General features: G+C 38.2%; 1 pseudogene, besides 2 other annotated features; it reads right to left on the bottom strand.

The window, feature by feature from the left end:
• Positions 3,068 to 3,268: a silencer, noted in NCBI's record as "peak906 fragment used in MPRA reporter construct". NCBI's record gives its function as "represses an SCP1 promoter by STARR-seq MPRAs in K562 erythroleukemia cells {active_cell/tissue: K562}" and the evidence as "EXISTENCE:reporter gene assay evidence [ECO:0000049][PMID:32103011]".
• Positions 6,448 to 6,648: a silencer, noted in NCBI's record as "peak905 fragment used in MPRA reporter construct". NCBI's record gives its function as "represses an SCP1 promoter by STARR-seq MPRAs in K562 erythroleukemia cells {active_cell/tissue: K562}" and the evidence as "EXISTENCE:reporter gene assay evidence [ECO:0000049][PMID:32103011]".
• Positions 11,771 to 12,619, bottom strand: ADIPOR1P1 (adiponectin receptor 1 pseudogene 1; annotated as a pseudogene).

Genomic DNA, 13,950 nt, shown 5'->3' with positions numbered 1-13,950 from the left:
GGTGTTTTATTTTTAATTTACTTAAATTGTGGTCAGAAGTCATATTTTGCATGACTTGAAAACTTAAATTTATTAAGACTTGTTTCGTGACCCAGAATATGTACTCTCTGGTAAATGTTCCACATGCACTTGACAAGAATTCACACTCTTCACTTGTTAAATGGATGTTCTATAAATGTCAGCTAAGTCAGTTTGGTTGATTGTATTACGCAAGTCTCCCATATTCTTTCTGATTTTGCAGGTTTCAACACCCTTCTATCAAATATAGACAAAACGGTGTGTTGAAACCTGCAATTTTAGTTGTGGATTTGTCTATTTTTTCTTGTAGCTCTTATCATTTTTTGTACTATTAGGAGCAAAAAATGTTCTGTTAGGTATATGAACATTTAGGATTTGTGTGTCCTCGTGTTGAATTGATCCTTTTATGATTATATGATCCTCTTTATCCCTGGAAATTTTCTTTGTTCTAAAATAGCCCCTGATATGAGTATAACCAGTTTTAGTTAGTGTTAACATGTTATATCTTTTTTTAATATCATGACTTTTAACCTTCCTGAGTCTTTGTGTTTAAAATGGCTTTCTTGCAGGTAGCACATAGTTGGATCTTTCTTCTTTAATCCTATGTAATAATCTTGCCTTTTACTTTGGGTGGTTAGACCAGTGGTCCCCAAATCCCGGGCCACAGACTGGTATCTGTCCGTGAACTCCACCTGAGATCCACCTCCTGTCAGATCAGTTGTGGCATTCGACTCTAATAGGGTATGAACCCTAATGCGAAGTGTGTATGCAAGGGATCTAGACTGCGTGCTGCTTATGAGAATCTAATGCTTGATGATCTCCGATGGAACAGTTTCATCCGAAAACCATCCCCCTCCCCCACCCCGGGTTAGACCATTACATTAATTTGTATGATTGGATCCAAACACACTTTCTTGTTATCTGGCTTCTATTTTTCCCACCCCTATTCTTTGCATCCCCTTTTCTCTTGTTCAGCCTTATTTTGAATTATTTGAGTTTTGCATAAAATTAGTATTATTTCTTTTTCAAATGTTTAGATAAAATTGTATTCTATTTCCTTTGTTGGCATATTAACTATAACTTGTATTATTTCAGATGTTAATTTACACTTTACAGTACACATCCTTATGAGTCTACTTTTAACCTTTAAGGGATATTATGCCACTTCTTATTTAGGGTAAGAACCTTGTAGCAGTATGCTTCCATTTGCCCCCTCAAGCCTTTATGCTATTGCTAAACATTTTATTTCTGCAGATTACATAAACTTCACAAAATATTGTTATTTCTGCTCCAAGCAGTTTATTATCTTTTAAAGATAATTAAGTGGTAAAAAAGCATTCTGTTTTATTTAGCCACATAGTTATTATTTCTAATGCTCTTTATCTCTTGGTGTAGTTTTCCGTCTAATATTTTCTTCTTCCTGAAAGACTTAAAGCAAAATGACATACAGCAAATCCTTAAAAAACATCATTTCATTAAAACAGTGATGAGCAAAAAAAACCTGGATTTGTTATATGTCATTTCACTTAAAGTTACAGTTTCCAAGAATCTATCGATGACCTTAAGTGAGGACTATCTTCTTCTCTTGCTGTTTTTAATAATTGTTCTTTATCAAAGATCTTGGCAATTTGTGATAAACCTTAGTGTAGTTCTCATTTTTCTTGGGTTTGGGGCTCGCTGATCTTCTTTTGTCTATGGTTTATAATTCTGTCTAATTTGGAAATATTCGGGACACTTTTTCTTAACTATTTTCTGTTCCTCACCCCCCTCTTTCACTCCTTAGGTGGCTCCAATTACATATACATCGAGCCACTGGAAGTTTTACTGTCCTCACTGATGCCTTCTTCATTTTTTCTCGTCTTTTCTCTCTCTCTTTCTTTTTGGATAGTTTCAGTTGCTAAATCATCAGGTTCACTAATCTTTCCTTCTGCAATGTCTGATCTGCCATCCATACCATCCAGTGAATTTTTCATCGCAGACAATGTAGTTTTCATCTCAGAGGTTTGATTTGAGTCTTTTGAAATATTGTGGGTTGTTTTTTAGAAACAATTTCACTCTGTCATCCAGGCTGAGTTAAAAGAATATACCCACATTATAGATGTAGAAATGGCATTTCTGGACAGATATGCACAGTAAGGTGAAAGAAAAAAACAAAATAGTATGGTATCTGAGTAAACTTATTAAATCCCCCTCCCCTAAGTAAAAAGAAAAAAATGAAATGTAACATGCAAGATAAAGATAAAAAATCTGTTCTGGAAGAATATATGTAATTTAAACATTTTAAGTAACCAAAATAAAATGCTTTTTAGAAAATAGATGAAATGAGCTGTAATAATACATTGTAATTACCCATTACCTAAATATTATTTCAACATGTAATCAATACAAAAATTATTGAGATATTTTGCATTTATATATACAAAGTCTTTGAATTTGGTGTATAGTTTACACTTACAGCACATCTCAGTTAAGAGTAGTTGCATTTCAATTGCTCATAGTCTCTTGTGGCTTGTGGTTACTATATTGGATAGTGTAGCTACAGAAGAATTTAATGAAAATTTTAAAAATTTGAAAGATAAACAATGAGAGGAAACAACAATGCAAAGGTGAAAAGGGAGTTTGCTGCTAATGTCCCAAGCACATTCCCTCCACCTTGCCCCCTCTATGCCTCTTCTTTTTTTTTTTTTTTTTTTTGACTGTGTCTCCCTCTGTTGCCAGGCTGGAGTGCAGTGGTGCGATCTCGGCTCACTGCAACCTCTGCCTCCTGGGTTCAAGCAATTCTCCTGCCTCAGCCTCCCGAGTAGCTGGGGCTACAGGCGTGCACCACCACGCCCAGCTAATTTTTATATTTTTAGTACAGACGGGGTTTCACCATCTTGGCCAGGATGGTCTCAATCTCTTGTCCTTGTGATCCGCCCACCTTGGCCTCCCAAAGTGCTGGGACTTCAGGTGTGAGCCACTGCGCCTGGCCCTATGCCTCTTCTTTATGTACCTGTGATTTCTGTAAAGACCTGAGATTGCCCAAGGTATTTTTTCTGACCAAAGCAGAGAATGTCTGTTCAATTCGGGGCAAGTGACAAGTGCCAGAGTGTGACTGTTCCCCAGTAACAGCCTATAGCCAGTGACAGACAAGAAGTTGATAGGTAAATGCTTCTGCTTCTTTGCCTGTTGGTTGAGATAACTCTGAGACATGTTCTACAATGTTTCAAAGAGCTCCCCAGAAGGTTTTAGCTCTAGTTGTCCACAGTGGTAACTTGGTGATAATATTATTCGATTTCTTCCCTCTCATGCTATACCTTCCTGCTCTCCATTAGTGTTTTCTGGAACTGCCTCTCAAATAAACTACTTGCACTCAAATTCTTGGGTCTGTTTTAATGCAAACAATGACACATAGTTTAGGAAAAAAATTAAGAGCCAAAACAACTTTCTTACAGAGCCATTAAAAAAATTAGAAACAGCAAAGAACAGAACAGACACAACCTAAGATCAAATGACTGATATGGGAAAGGCTTGGCAAACACAGCGTCTGAAGACTTTTTTAAAGACAAAGACACTAAAGCAATTTAAAGAGAAGAGAAGATGTCTCAAAGACAAAGACTAATCACAATAAAAGCAATCAATGTCTTGGAATTAAAGAAGCTGTCAAATGAATCAGAAAATATACTTAAAAACCAACAGAAGAGTTTTTTTTTGTCCTGATTAGAGGAAAGAATTAATCTAAAACATCTTTTTCCTGAAAAAAAAAATTGATATAGGAGCACCAACATTGAGATATATCCTAGTTGGTTTGCAATTCATTAAGACAAAATTATTTAAGTATCCAGACATATACTTCTTATTATTATGTATTTTTTGAGATAGAGTCTCACTCTATCACCCAGGCTAGAGGGCAGTGGTGTGATTATGGCTCACTGTAGCCTGTATCTCCTGGGCTCAAGTGATCCTCCCACCTCAGCCTCCCAAGTGGCTGGGAATACAGACATGGGCCACCATGGCTGGCTAATTTTTAAATTTTTTATAGACATGGGCTCTCACTATGTTGCCCAGGTTGGATTCAAACTCCTGGACTCAGGTGATCCTCTTGCCTCTCCCTCCCCAAGTGGTGGGATTATAGGTGTTAGCCACTGCACCCGGCCCAAATACTAATTATTTACCAGGAAAATAAAATCAGAATAGCCTCAGACTTCTCTAAGAATTATTCAATATCTGCCACATATTGAGAAAGAGAAGAGTATTTTTCTCAATCAAGCTGACATTCAAATATAAAGGCAAGAGACAGACAAATAGCCTTAACCATAAACAAACCCAGGAACCACATGCCCTTTTAGAAAAAACACAAAAAATCAAAACCAAACAACTAGGAAGGAAAGAGAAATATCACACTAAAAAAGTCTGGTAAGAAGGACTCAATTAATTTAAATATAGAATTAAGACTAAAAAATGATGGGAAACATGGTTACAGAATATAAGTGTTATAAGCTTTGACAATGTAAAAAATGATAACATAATATAAATCAGGTATGGCATGAAACAGAGCGAGATCATGTCATTTGCAGGAACATGAATGGAGCTGGAGGTCATTATCCTTAGCAAACTAATGCAGGAACAAAAGACCAAATGCCGCATGTTCTTACTTATAAGTGGGAGCTAAATGATGAGAACACATGGACACATAAAAAGGAACAACAGACACTGGGGCCTGCTTAAGGATAGATGGTGGGAGGAGGGAGAGGATCAGAAAATATAAGTATTGGGTACTAAGCTTAGTACCTGGGTGATGAAATAATTTGTACAACAAAGCCCCATGACACAATTTTACCTATATAACAAACCTGCACATGTACCACTGAGCCTAAAATGAAAGTTAAAAATAAAATCAGGCATAGAGGGGAAAGGAGAGAAATGGGAGGAGGTTTATTTGTGATCATTTCTTTGATATTCCTGTATAACTAGAAATCAACAGATGCAGTCTGAAGTTGCTAAATCAAGAAGTAGAGAGTTAGTGATAGTAAAGTTATGACTGCCTCAGAAAATCCCCCAATTGCAGAAAACAAGCTTTCAAAATTATCCAAAGAAGTATACACACACACACCTCTAAGACCAAATACAAAAAAGATTATACATATATATGGTAGCAGTAGTGATAATAGTAAACCTAAGATGAAGTGGAATAAATACTAAATAAATATCATATATTAATGTGTATAAATGGGAATAAGTTCACCCAATACAGAAATCTACAGAGTATATAAAAGAAAAAATTCACAAAATCCAATCATGTATTCAGAAGAAAGAAATACAGTAGAATTGTGGAGGAGAGCTGGTTCTTTAAAGACAGAAATACAGACAAAAGCCAAATAATCCCCTGCCTAGTGGGTCAATGGAAGCAGCTGAAAAAGCTACAGAAGATCTTCTTAAAATCTCAAGGTCCACTTGGTTTCACTGTTGATTCTTTAAAAAGTTTAAGGGTAAATTGGATAGAATTTAAAATGTTCCAAAACATCAAAAGAGGAAATCCTTCATATTATATTTGTAGAAGTTTAACACTGACATCAAAACTTGACAAGACAGAGCAAAGCTCACGTATCAACATTTATGTAAAAATCTCAATAAAACAAGGGCAATTGTAATTCAGCAGTACTTAAAAAAATACCTCATTACCAATTGAGTTCCTCCTGCACTGCAAAGGTGAGTCAATATTAGGAAAATTGTGAATATATTATACCTTATTAATAACCCAAAGAGGCAAAATGTACATAGTTACTTTATGCAGAAAAATTATTTGACAAAGTTCAACATCCCACATGATTACTAAAATAGAGAATAAATTAAAAATAGCTGACAACAGCAGAATACACATTTTTCTCATGTGCATGCACAACATTCCCCAGGATAGACCATATGTTAGGCCATAAAACCATAGAACAGATTTTAATACATTTTAAAATATTGAAGTCATACAAAGTACTCCAATAATAATGAAATAAAACTAGAAATCAGTAACAGAAAACTGGAAATTTCACAAATACGTGCAAACCAAACAAAATATTCTTAGGCAACCAATGGATCAAAAAAAAGGTCACAAAGGTAATTAAAAACTACCATGAGCTGAATGAAAATAAAACATCACATTGCCAAAACTTATGGAATGCAGTGCTAGGGAAATTTATAGATATAAATGCATACATTGAAAATGACCTCTATCATATTAAGGAAATTTTCTTCTATTCCTAGCTTATTGAGTTTTTTTATCATAGTGCTGAATTTTGTCAAATGCTTTGTCTGCATTAACTGAGATGACCATGTGGGGTTTGTTTCCTCCCTTCTATTAATGTGGCATATTACATTGATGCTTTTCTTTATATGTTAAACCATCCTTGCATTCTGGGAATAAATCCCACCTGCTCATGGTATATAATCCTTTTAAGGTACTGCTGAATCCAGTTTGGTATTATCTTGTTAAGGATTTTTGTATTACTATCCATCAGAGAGGTTGGTCTGTAGTTTCCTTTTCTTGTAGTGTCTTTGTCTGGCTTCAGTACCATAGTAATGCTGGCTTCATAGAACAAGTCAGGAAGTGTTCCCTCTCTGCAGTGTTTCGGAAAAGTTTGAGAAATTTGATAATTCTTTAAATGTTTGGTAGAATTTACTAGTGAAGTCATCTGGTACAGGGCTTTTCTTTTTTAGGAGTTTTTTGATTACTGATTCAATCTTCTTATTAGTTACAGGTCTACTCAACTTTTCTATTTAAGATTCAGTTTTCGCAGAGTATATTTCTAGGATTTTGTCCATTTCATCTGGACTACCCCATCAATTGATGTACAAGTGTTCATCATATTCTCTTCTAAGTCTTTTCATTTTTGTAAAACTGATAATAATATTCTCACTTTTATTTTCATTTCTGGTAATCTGACTTTCATCTCTTTTTTTTCCTTAGTCATTCTAGCTAAAGATTTGTCACTTTTGTTGATCTTTTTAGAGGCATCTTTTGGTTTTGTTGATTTTTGCTTGTTTTTCTATGCTCTATTTTATTTATCTTCGTCCTAATCTTTATTGTTTCCTTTTTTCTTTTTCTTTTTTTTTTTTGAGACAGTCTAGCTCTTGTTGCCCAGGCTGGAGGGCAATGGCGTGATCTCAGCTCACTGCAACCTCTGCCTCCCGGGTTCAAGCAGTTCTCCTGCCTCAGCCTCCCAAGTAGCTGGGATTACAAGCATGTGCCACCAAGCCTGGCTAACTTTGTATTTTTAGGAGAGATGGGGTTTCATCATGTTGGTCAGGCTGATCTTGAACTCCTGACCTCAGGTGATCCACCCACCTTCACCTCCCAAAGTGCTGGGATTACAGACATGAGTCACCATGCCTGGCCTATTGTTTTCTTTTATCTGCTAGTTTTGGGTTTAGTTTGTTCTTCCTTTTCTAGTTCCTTAGGTATAAAATTAGGTTGTTGATTTGAGATCTTTCTTCTTTTTTAATGTAGAAGTTGATAGCTATAATTTCTGTGTTTTTTTTTTTTTTTTTGAGACGGAGTCGCGCACTGTCACCCAGGCTGGAGTGCAGTGGCACTATCTGGGCTCACTGCAACCTTTGCCTCCCGGGCTCATGCAATTCTCCTGCCTCAGCCTCCTGAGTAGATGGGACTACAGGTGCGTGCCACCACACCCGGCTAATTTTTTGTATTTTTAGTAGAGACAGGGTTTCACAGTGTTAGCCAGGATAGTCTCAATCTCCTGACCTCGTGATCTGCCTGCCTTGACCTTGCAAGGTGTTGGGATTACAGGCGTGAGCCACCGTGCCCGGCCATAATTTCTCTTGGCACTGATTTTGCTGCATCTCATACATTTTGGTGTGTTGTATTTTGTTTTCATCCAGCTCAAGTTATTTTCTAATTTCCCTTGTGATTTTTTGTTTGACCTGTTAATTAAGAATGTTTTTCCAGTTTTCCTTCTATTTTTGATGTCTAGTTTATTTCATAATGATCTGAAAAGATACCTCATATGCTTCCAATCTTGTAAAAGTTACTGACTTTTTTAATGGCCTAACATATGGTCTATTCTGGAGAATGTTCTATGTGCACTTGAGAAAAAATGCATATTCTCCTGTTGTTGGGTGGAGTGTTCTATATACATTTGTTATCTATCAATTTGTCTGTCTTTTTTGTCCATACATCCATCCACCTGTCTTTCTATTTGTCTTACAAAGAGGATTTCATAGCTGTTATGCCCTTGGCCAGGAAATCCGCGCCCCTAGATGTTCATATGGCTGGCTTTTCCTCATGACTCAGATCTTTCCTCAACTATAACCTCAAAGACATTTTCTCTGATCACAGTATCTAAAATTGCACCCCAACTCACCACACCCCAGCCACTCTCTGTCTTGTTTCCTGGTTTGTTGTTTTTATAACATTTATCTCAATCTGAAATTATATGCTTCATTTGATTCTTTACTTTTTTGTTCTCTATCTGTCCCAGTAGAATATAAGCTTAATGAAAGTGGAGATAGTCTGTCTTGTTCACAGCCGGAGCTTAGTAAATATTTGATGAACATGTATTTGTTAACATTTGTTAAATATCACCATGCTCTTCAAATAGCACACTGTTTTTTACTTAAATAAATTTGTTTATATGGTTTTTCATGCTGAGAGACTTGAGAGGCAATTCTCACGTCCTGTGTAGTTTGTTGTTATGCTTTTACCCTCTCTGAAGTTACTACTTTTTGACTTCTGTTTAGTTTGGAGTTGAAAGTTGTATCATCTATCAGTTTACACTATATCCTTTATAATATTGCATGTTTCAGTAAAATCCTTACTAACTTTTTTCTGTATTGGTATCTTAGATTTTAGCATAGTTTCTAGAAAACCTCTTTTTCACAAGCAAATCGTTTAAGCAACATTGCTATTTTTTTCTCAATATTAACACTAATTATATTTTAGTACAGTATATATTTCCTAGGGTGATTATTCATTAACATAAGTGAAGTTATTTAAGGGGATCTTAGAATTTCATAGAATAAGGAAACATTGATTTATTGTTTGGTATTCATACAAATTTTCTTGTTCTATTGAACTGCTAGTCATAAATAATGATATAAATAATAAAATTGATAATATAATAGATGATATAAATTCATTACTAGAAGCTCAATAGAACAAGCAAAACAGAACTTCTAGTATTGAATTTATATTATGTAAAATTATATATCATTATACTGTGTGAAATTAAATTATACATACATCACATTATGCAAAATTGAGTTATGTGCAATTTATTTCACTACTTGGAAGTTTGGCTAATTGAAATGACTACTCTACATCAAGATTATAAGTTTTGTTTTCATACTATCTCTTAGTAACCTGTAAAGAAGAAATATACTATTCACTGTTTTTACTTTGTCTCTTACTATTTTTGAAGTTCTTTTTTATCATATCATTGTCTCTTTCTCTGTTTTCATTTCCCTAGAGTAACTCACATTCTCATAGGCTTTGATCCTCAGACACCACCAAATGTTGTACTTGGCCAATACCTGGCACTTTTTGTGTCTCTGCACTTGTTCCTGACAACTTCACCTCTCTAAGAAATATTTTATAATCTGTTTTTAAATTAGCTTAATATTTAAGAAGCAAGAAATTATGACAGATTGTTTAATACAACATGGTGTCAAACTACTACTTTGTTATTTTCTCCCCGGGCATATTCCTTTTGTTGATAATGGAAAAATAATGGCTACTGAAGCAGACATAGCTCCTAAGTCATGAAAAGAATTTTAAGAAAATTCTCTTATTTAAAAATAGGATTTTCTTCCCCTTAGTTTTCACCGTATTTTCAAATCCTGCCCTTCTTGAAGTTAAGCTTCTTATTCTACAAAGCTTTCTCTTTTGTCTGCATTCCTTTACAGGATCATCATTTATATCACACATTCTAGTACATTCTAGTATTGTCATTGTTCATGTTGTGGTATTGTTTCCATGAATGCCATAAGCATCTTCTTCTTCCTGTTTGTAAACAGATCTAGCCCCAGAAAGATGGGACCAGATTGTTTTTGGAAAGTGTGCTACAAAAACAAACAAAATATGAATGTTCTATTATAAGCCAGGTTACAAAGAAAAGATGGGTTAGAGTGGGATATTTTCTTCCAGAAACAGAATTTTTGAAGAATCCCAGTGTTTCATTTGTACCCATGAGATTTTAATTTATGAGGTGACTGATGACACAGAGAGGCTAATGCTATCGAGAGAAGAATTGATTACTTACATTTTCCAAGAGAAGGGGGCATGCAGGGCCACTCAGTGCCACGGGAGAAAGCACCAGTTTTGGTCAGAAGGAAGGAGTCAAGGAAAGCCATAGGCCACAGCCTTTATTGGGGTTTCTGTGGAAAAGGCAGTGCAGGGCAGAGTAAACCGTTTAGGACTGGCTAGTGTGAATAACTCTGGTGGGCTTTGGGTCATACGGTGGTCTCCAGTATCCTGCTATCTGGCCTTGGGATGATTTAGGGCAGGGGAAATATTGACTTGGAGTGTGGGTTAGATGAGATGTTTGGGGTGTATAGACTGTGAATTAGTTGGTTTGCACATGAAAGGCAAGCTTTGCTACTGCAACTGAGTCCAAGCTCATTCTGTTTACTGCACAAGAGTCAGTAAGTTGAAAGCAAGGAATTGGAGCAAGGAAAGCGACTTTATTTCAGAGAACCAGCAAACTGAGAAGATGGCAGACTAGCATCCTAAAGTACCATCTTAGAATTATGCAGGCTTTGCCTTGTCTTTTATGTCTAGGAAAGGAGGGGGCTGATAATGGCATATGTTTAGGCGCCAGCAAGGGTCCAGGGAGGTTTGTGAAACTTTTGTCCTTGGGTAATGGTGTCTTATATGATGCTAGCCAAACTTCCTGGTTCCTATAAAGCTTTGACAAAACATAGTTGTTTACATACTTCTCTTTTAATTCCAGAGTTAGCTTCAAAAGCTACTTAATTGCTGTTTTTGCATTTTATCTCAATGCTCTAAAATTATCCCTGCCTATACTCACCAATGAGTAAAGGCCCCTTAAGCAAAAGTGAAGTTAGCTATGTGTGTTCCTTTGCTGTTTCACTGTTACACTACCTCTAAGAACTGGCTAGCCCTGGAATTGGGGCGTTACTTTTCCCCTGACAGTGGGAAATGGGTCCCACAGTGCCACAAGGATTTTTATCATTTTGGGAAAGAATGATGGGTTGAGTGTTCTACCTATGTTTTCTTAGATTTTGTATTTGTCTGTTTGGCATCCATTCATTCCTCACAGGGCTTCTATGTTAACTATATTTTCTTACTTTCTGTATTCTTAATGTTCTGCCATTTGAGGGCCACATATACCCTTAAAAAAAGGCACTTGGGAAGTTCCTTGGGTGTGAGACTCAAAGAAGACATCAGTATAGCCACTTTCTAGTCCATGACAGGATTTCTGAAAGTTGGAGACTTTTTTTTTTTTTTTTTTTTTTTTTTTTAGACAGGGTCTCGCTCTGTTACCCAGGTTGTGGTACAGTGGTGCAATCATGGCTCACTGTGGCCTTAAACTTCTGGGCTCAAGCAATCCTCCTGCCTCAGACTCCTGAGTAGCTGGGACTACAGGTGTGCACCATCATGCCCACAGATTTTTAATATTTTTTTATAGAGATAGAGTCTCACTATGTTGCCCAGGCTGGTCTCAAACTCCTGGGCTCAAGCAGTCCTCCTGCCTCTACCTCCCAAAGTGTTGGGATTACAGGCGTGAGCTACCACGCCAGGCCTGGAGACTTTACAGACATGTACAAAGGCTGCTACCATCATCAGGGCATGGAAAATTGGGTGCAACCAGAATCACATGTCAAATTTTCCAGGAAAATACTGCTCAGGAATTTGAGTTGCATTAAGGCAACTCTGGTGATGTCCATCACAGCCATGAGGAAGAACCAGCCCATCTGGCCCACTGTGGTGGCCTTGACACAGCCCTTAGTGATAGTAAAGCCCACAGTAGGCACACCACCACCCAAGTCAAGTCCCAGGAACACTGTTGCTCTTGTCCGCTAGTGCTTAGGAGTGGAAACGGGTTCTGCTGTGTCACAAGGGTGCAAAAATGCCCAGGACAAGGGCAGTGGAGAGGTGGATGTGCCGTGGTTTTGGGGAACAGTACAAGGAGTAATACAGCCAAGAGACAAGGCTCCCCATCATCAGGAGAGTGATGTCTGAATAGCCCAGTTTGGAATATGTCCAAAACTTTCTCTGAATGAGAATAGGTGGTATGAAAGAGCTAGGAGAAATTGAGACAGAGCACTGCACCCAACAAGAGCATTCTCCAAGCCACCTTCTCCTGTGGATGGGGCCATGAAATGAATATTTCGTCTGAGCATGGTGAAGATTTCCAGCATGAAACCAAGCAGATGTCTTTAGACAGTGCCAGTTTCTGAATGGAGTGGAGATGCTCTTTGAGTAAGCCTGAGGGCGGGCGTGAGTGGTCCATTGTCATGTAGCAGGCATCAGTGTACTTCAAGTCAGGGAGCCAGCATTTGGGATGATCTTCCAATGTCCCTCCCGGATCTTGTACACAAACTCCTCCATTTTCTCCATGGGATGTTGGGCTTGCAGGGGAAACATCAGTACCTGTACCACCTTCTCTTTCTCCTGAGACCCTAGATCTATTCCCTCTTCTTTAATTTTGGGTTGGCGATTACCTGTTTGCTCTTCTCTTCTAGCAGGGAGTCCCAGTTCAACCAGTTCCACCATGTCAGGTTTTTTTGTTGTTGTTGTTGTTGCTGTTGTCCTGCCTCAGGTTGATTTGTACAAATAGCACAGGAGGACACCAGCCCCATGCAGATGGCAGCCCAGGGGTCACACCAGTCCCACTGTCCTCATGCCGACAGAGGCTTCTATTCCAAAGTCTTTGTGGGGATCTGGGCACCTTTGGGAGCCTGAGCCAGAGCTGGAGCTAGACCTGTAGCTGGAGCTGAAGCTGCAGCCTGGGCCTTGGTTTAATCCTTGGTCTTGGCCTTTGGCTGGCAGAGCCTTAGACCCTTGGCAATATGGGCATAAGCATGCTTCCCAAGCTTGGGGTGGGCAATGTAGGCAAGTCAAGTGAGCTTGAGGCTGACACCCTTTGGGATTTTGGGCTTAACATCCTTGGGCTTTATGAGGCCATGATAGCCTCTGCACTCACACTCATGGCCTTGCCATTATTGGCCTATGATATGGTTTGGGTGTTTTGTCCTCTCCAAATCACATGTTGAAATGTGACCTCCAATGTTGGAAGTTGGTCTCTGGGAGGTGTTTGGGTCATGGGGGTGGATCCCTCATGAATGGCTTGGTGCCCTCCCCATGGTGATGAATGAGTTATCGCTCCATTAAATTCATGTGAGAGCTGGTATTTATTTATTTATTTATTTTTCAGAAGGAGTCTTGTTCTGTCACCCAGGCTGGAATGCAGTGGCATGATCTTGGCTCACTTCAACCTCCGCCTCTCGGGTTCAAGCAATTATCCTGCCTCAGCCTCCCAAGTAGCTGGGACTACAGATGTGTACCACCACACCTGGCTAATTTTTTTGTGTTTTTAGTAGAGACGGGGTTTCACCATATTGGCCAGGCTGGTCTCGAACTCCTGATCTCAGGTGACTCACCTGCCACAGCCTCCCAAAGTGCTGGAATTACAGGCGTGAGCCACCGCACCCAGCAAAGAGAACTGATTGTTTAAAGGAGCCTTGCACCTCCTCTTCTTTCCCTTGCTCACTTTCTTGCCATGTGAGATACGTGCTCCCCCTTCACCTTCCACCATTAGTAAAGGCTTCCTGAGGCCTCATCAGAAGCTGAGCAGATGCTGGTTCCATGCTTATGCAGCTTAGCAGAACTGTGGCCTAAATAAACTTTTCTTGGTAAATTACCCAGTCTCAAGTGTTCCTTTATAGCAACACAAGACTGACTGACACAGCCTGCATTTTCTT

Source organism: Homo sapiens, chromosome 10 (assembly GCF_000001405.40).
Source record: "Homo sapiens chromosome 10, GRCh38.p14 Primary Assembly".
Taxonomy (NCBI): Eukaryota; Metazoa; Chordata; class Mammalia; order Primates; family Hominidae; genus Homo; species Homo sapiens.
This window is presented reverse-complemented; position numbering and strand designations above follow the sequence as displayed.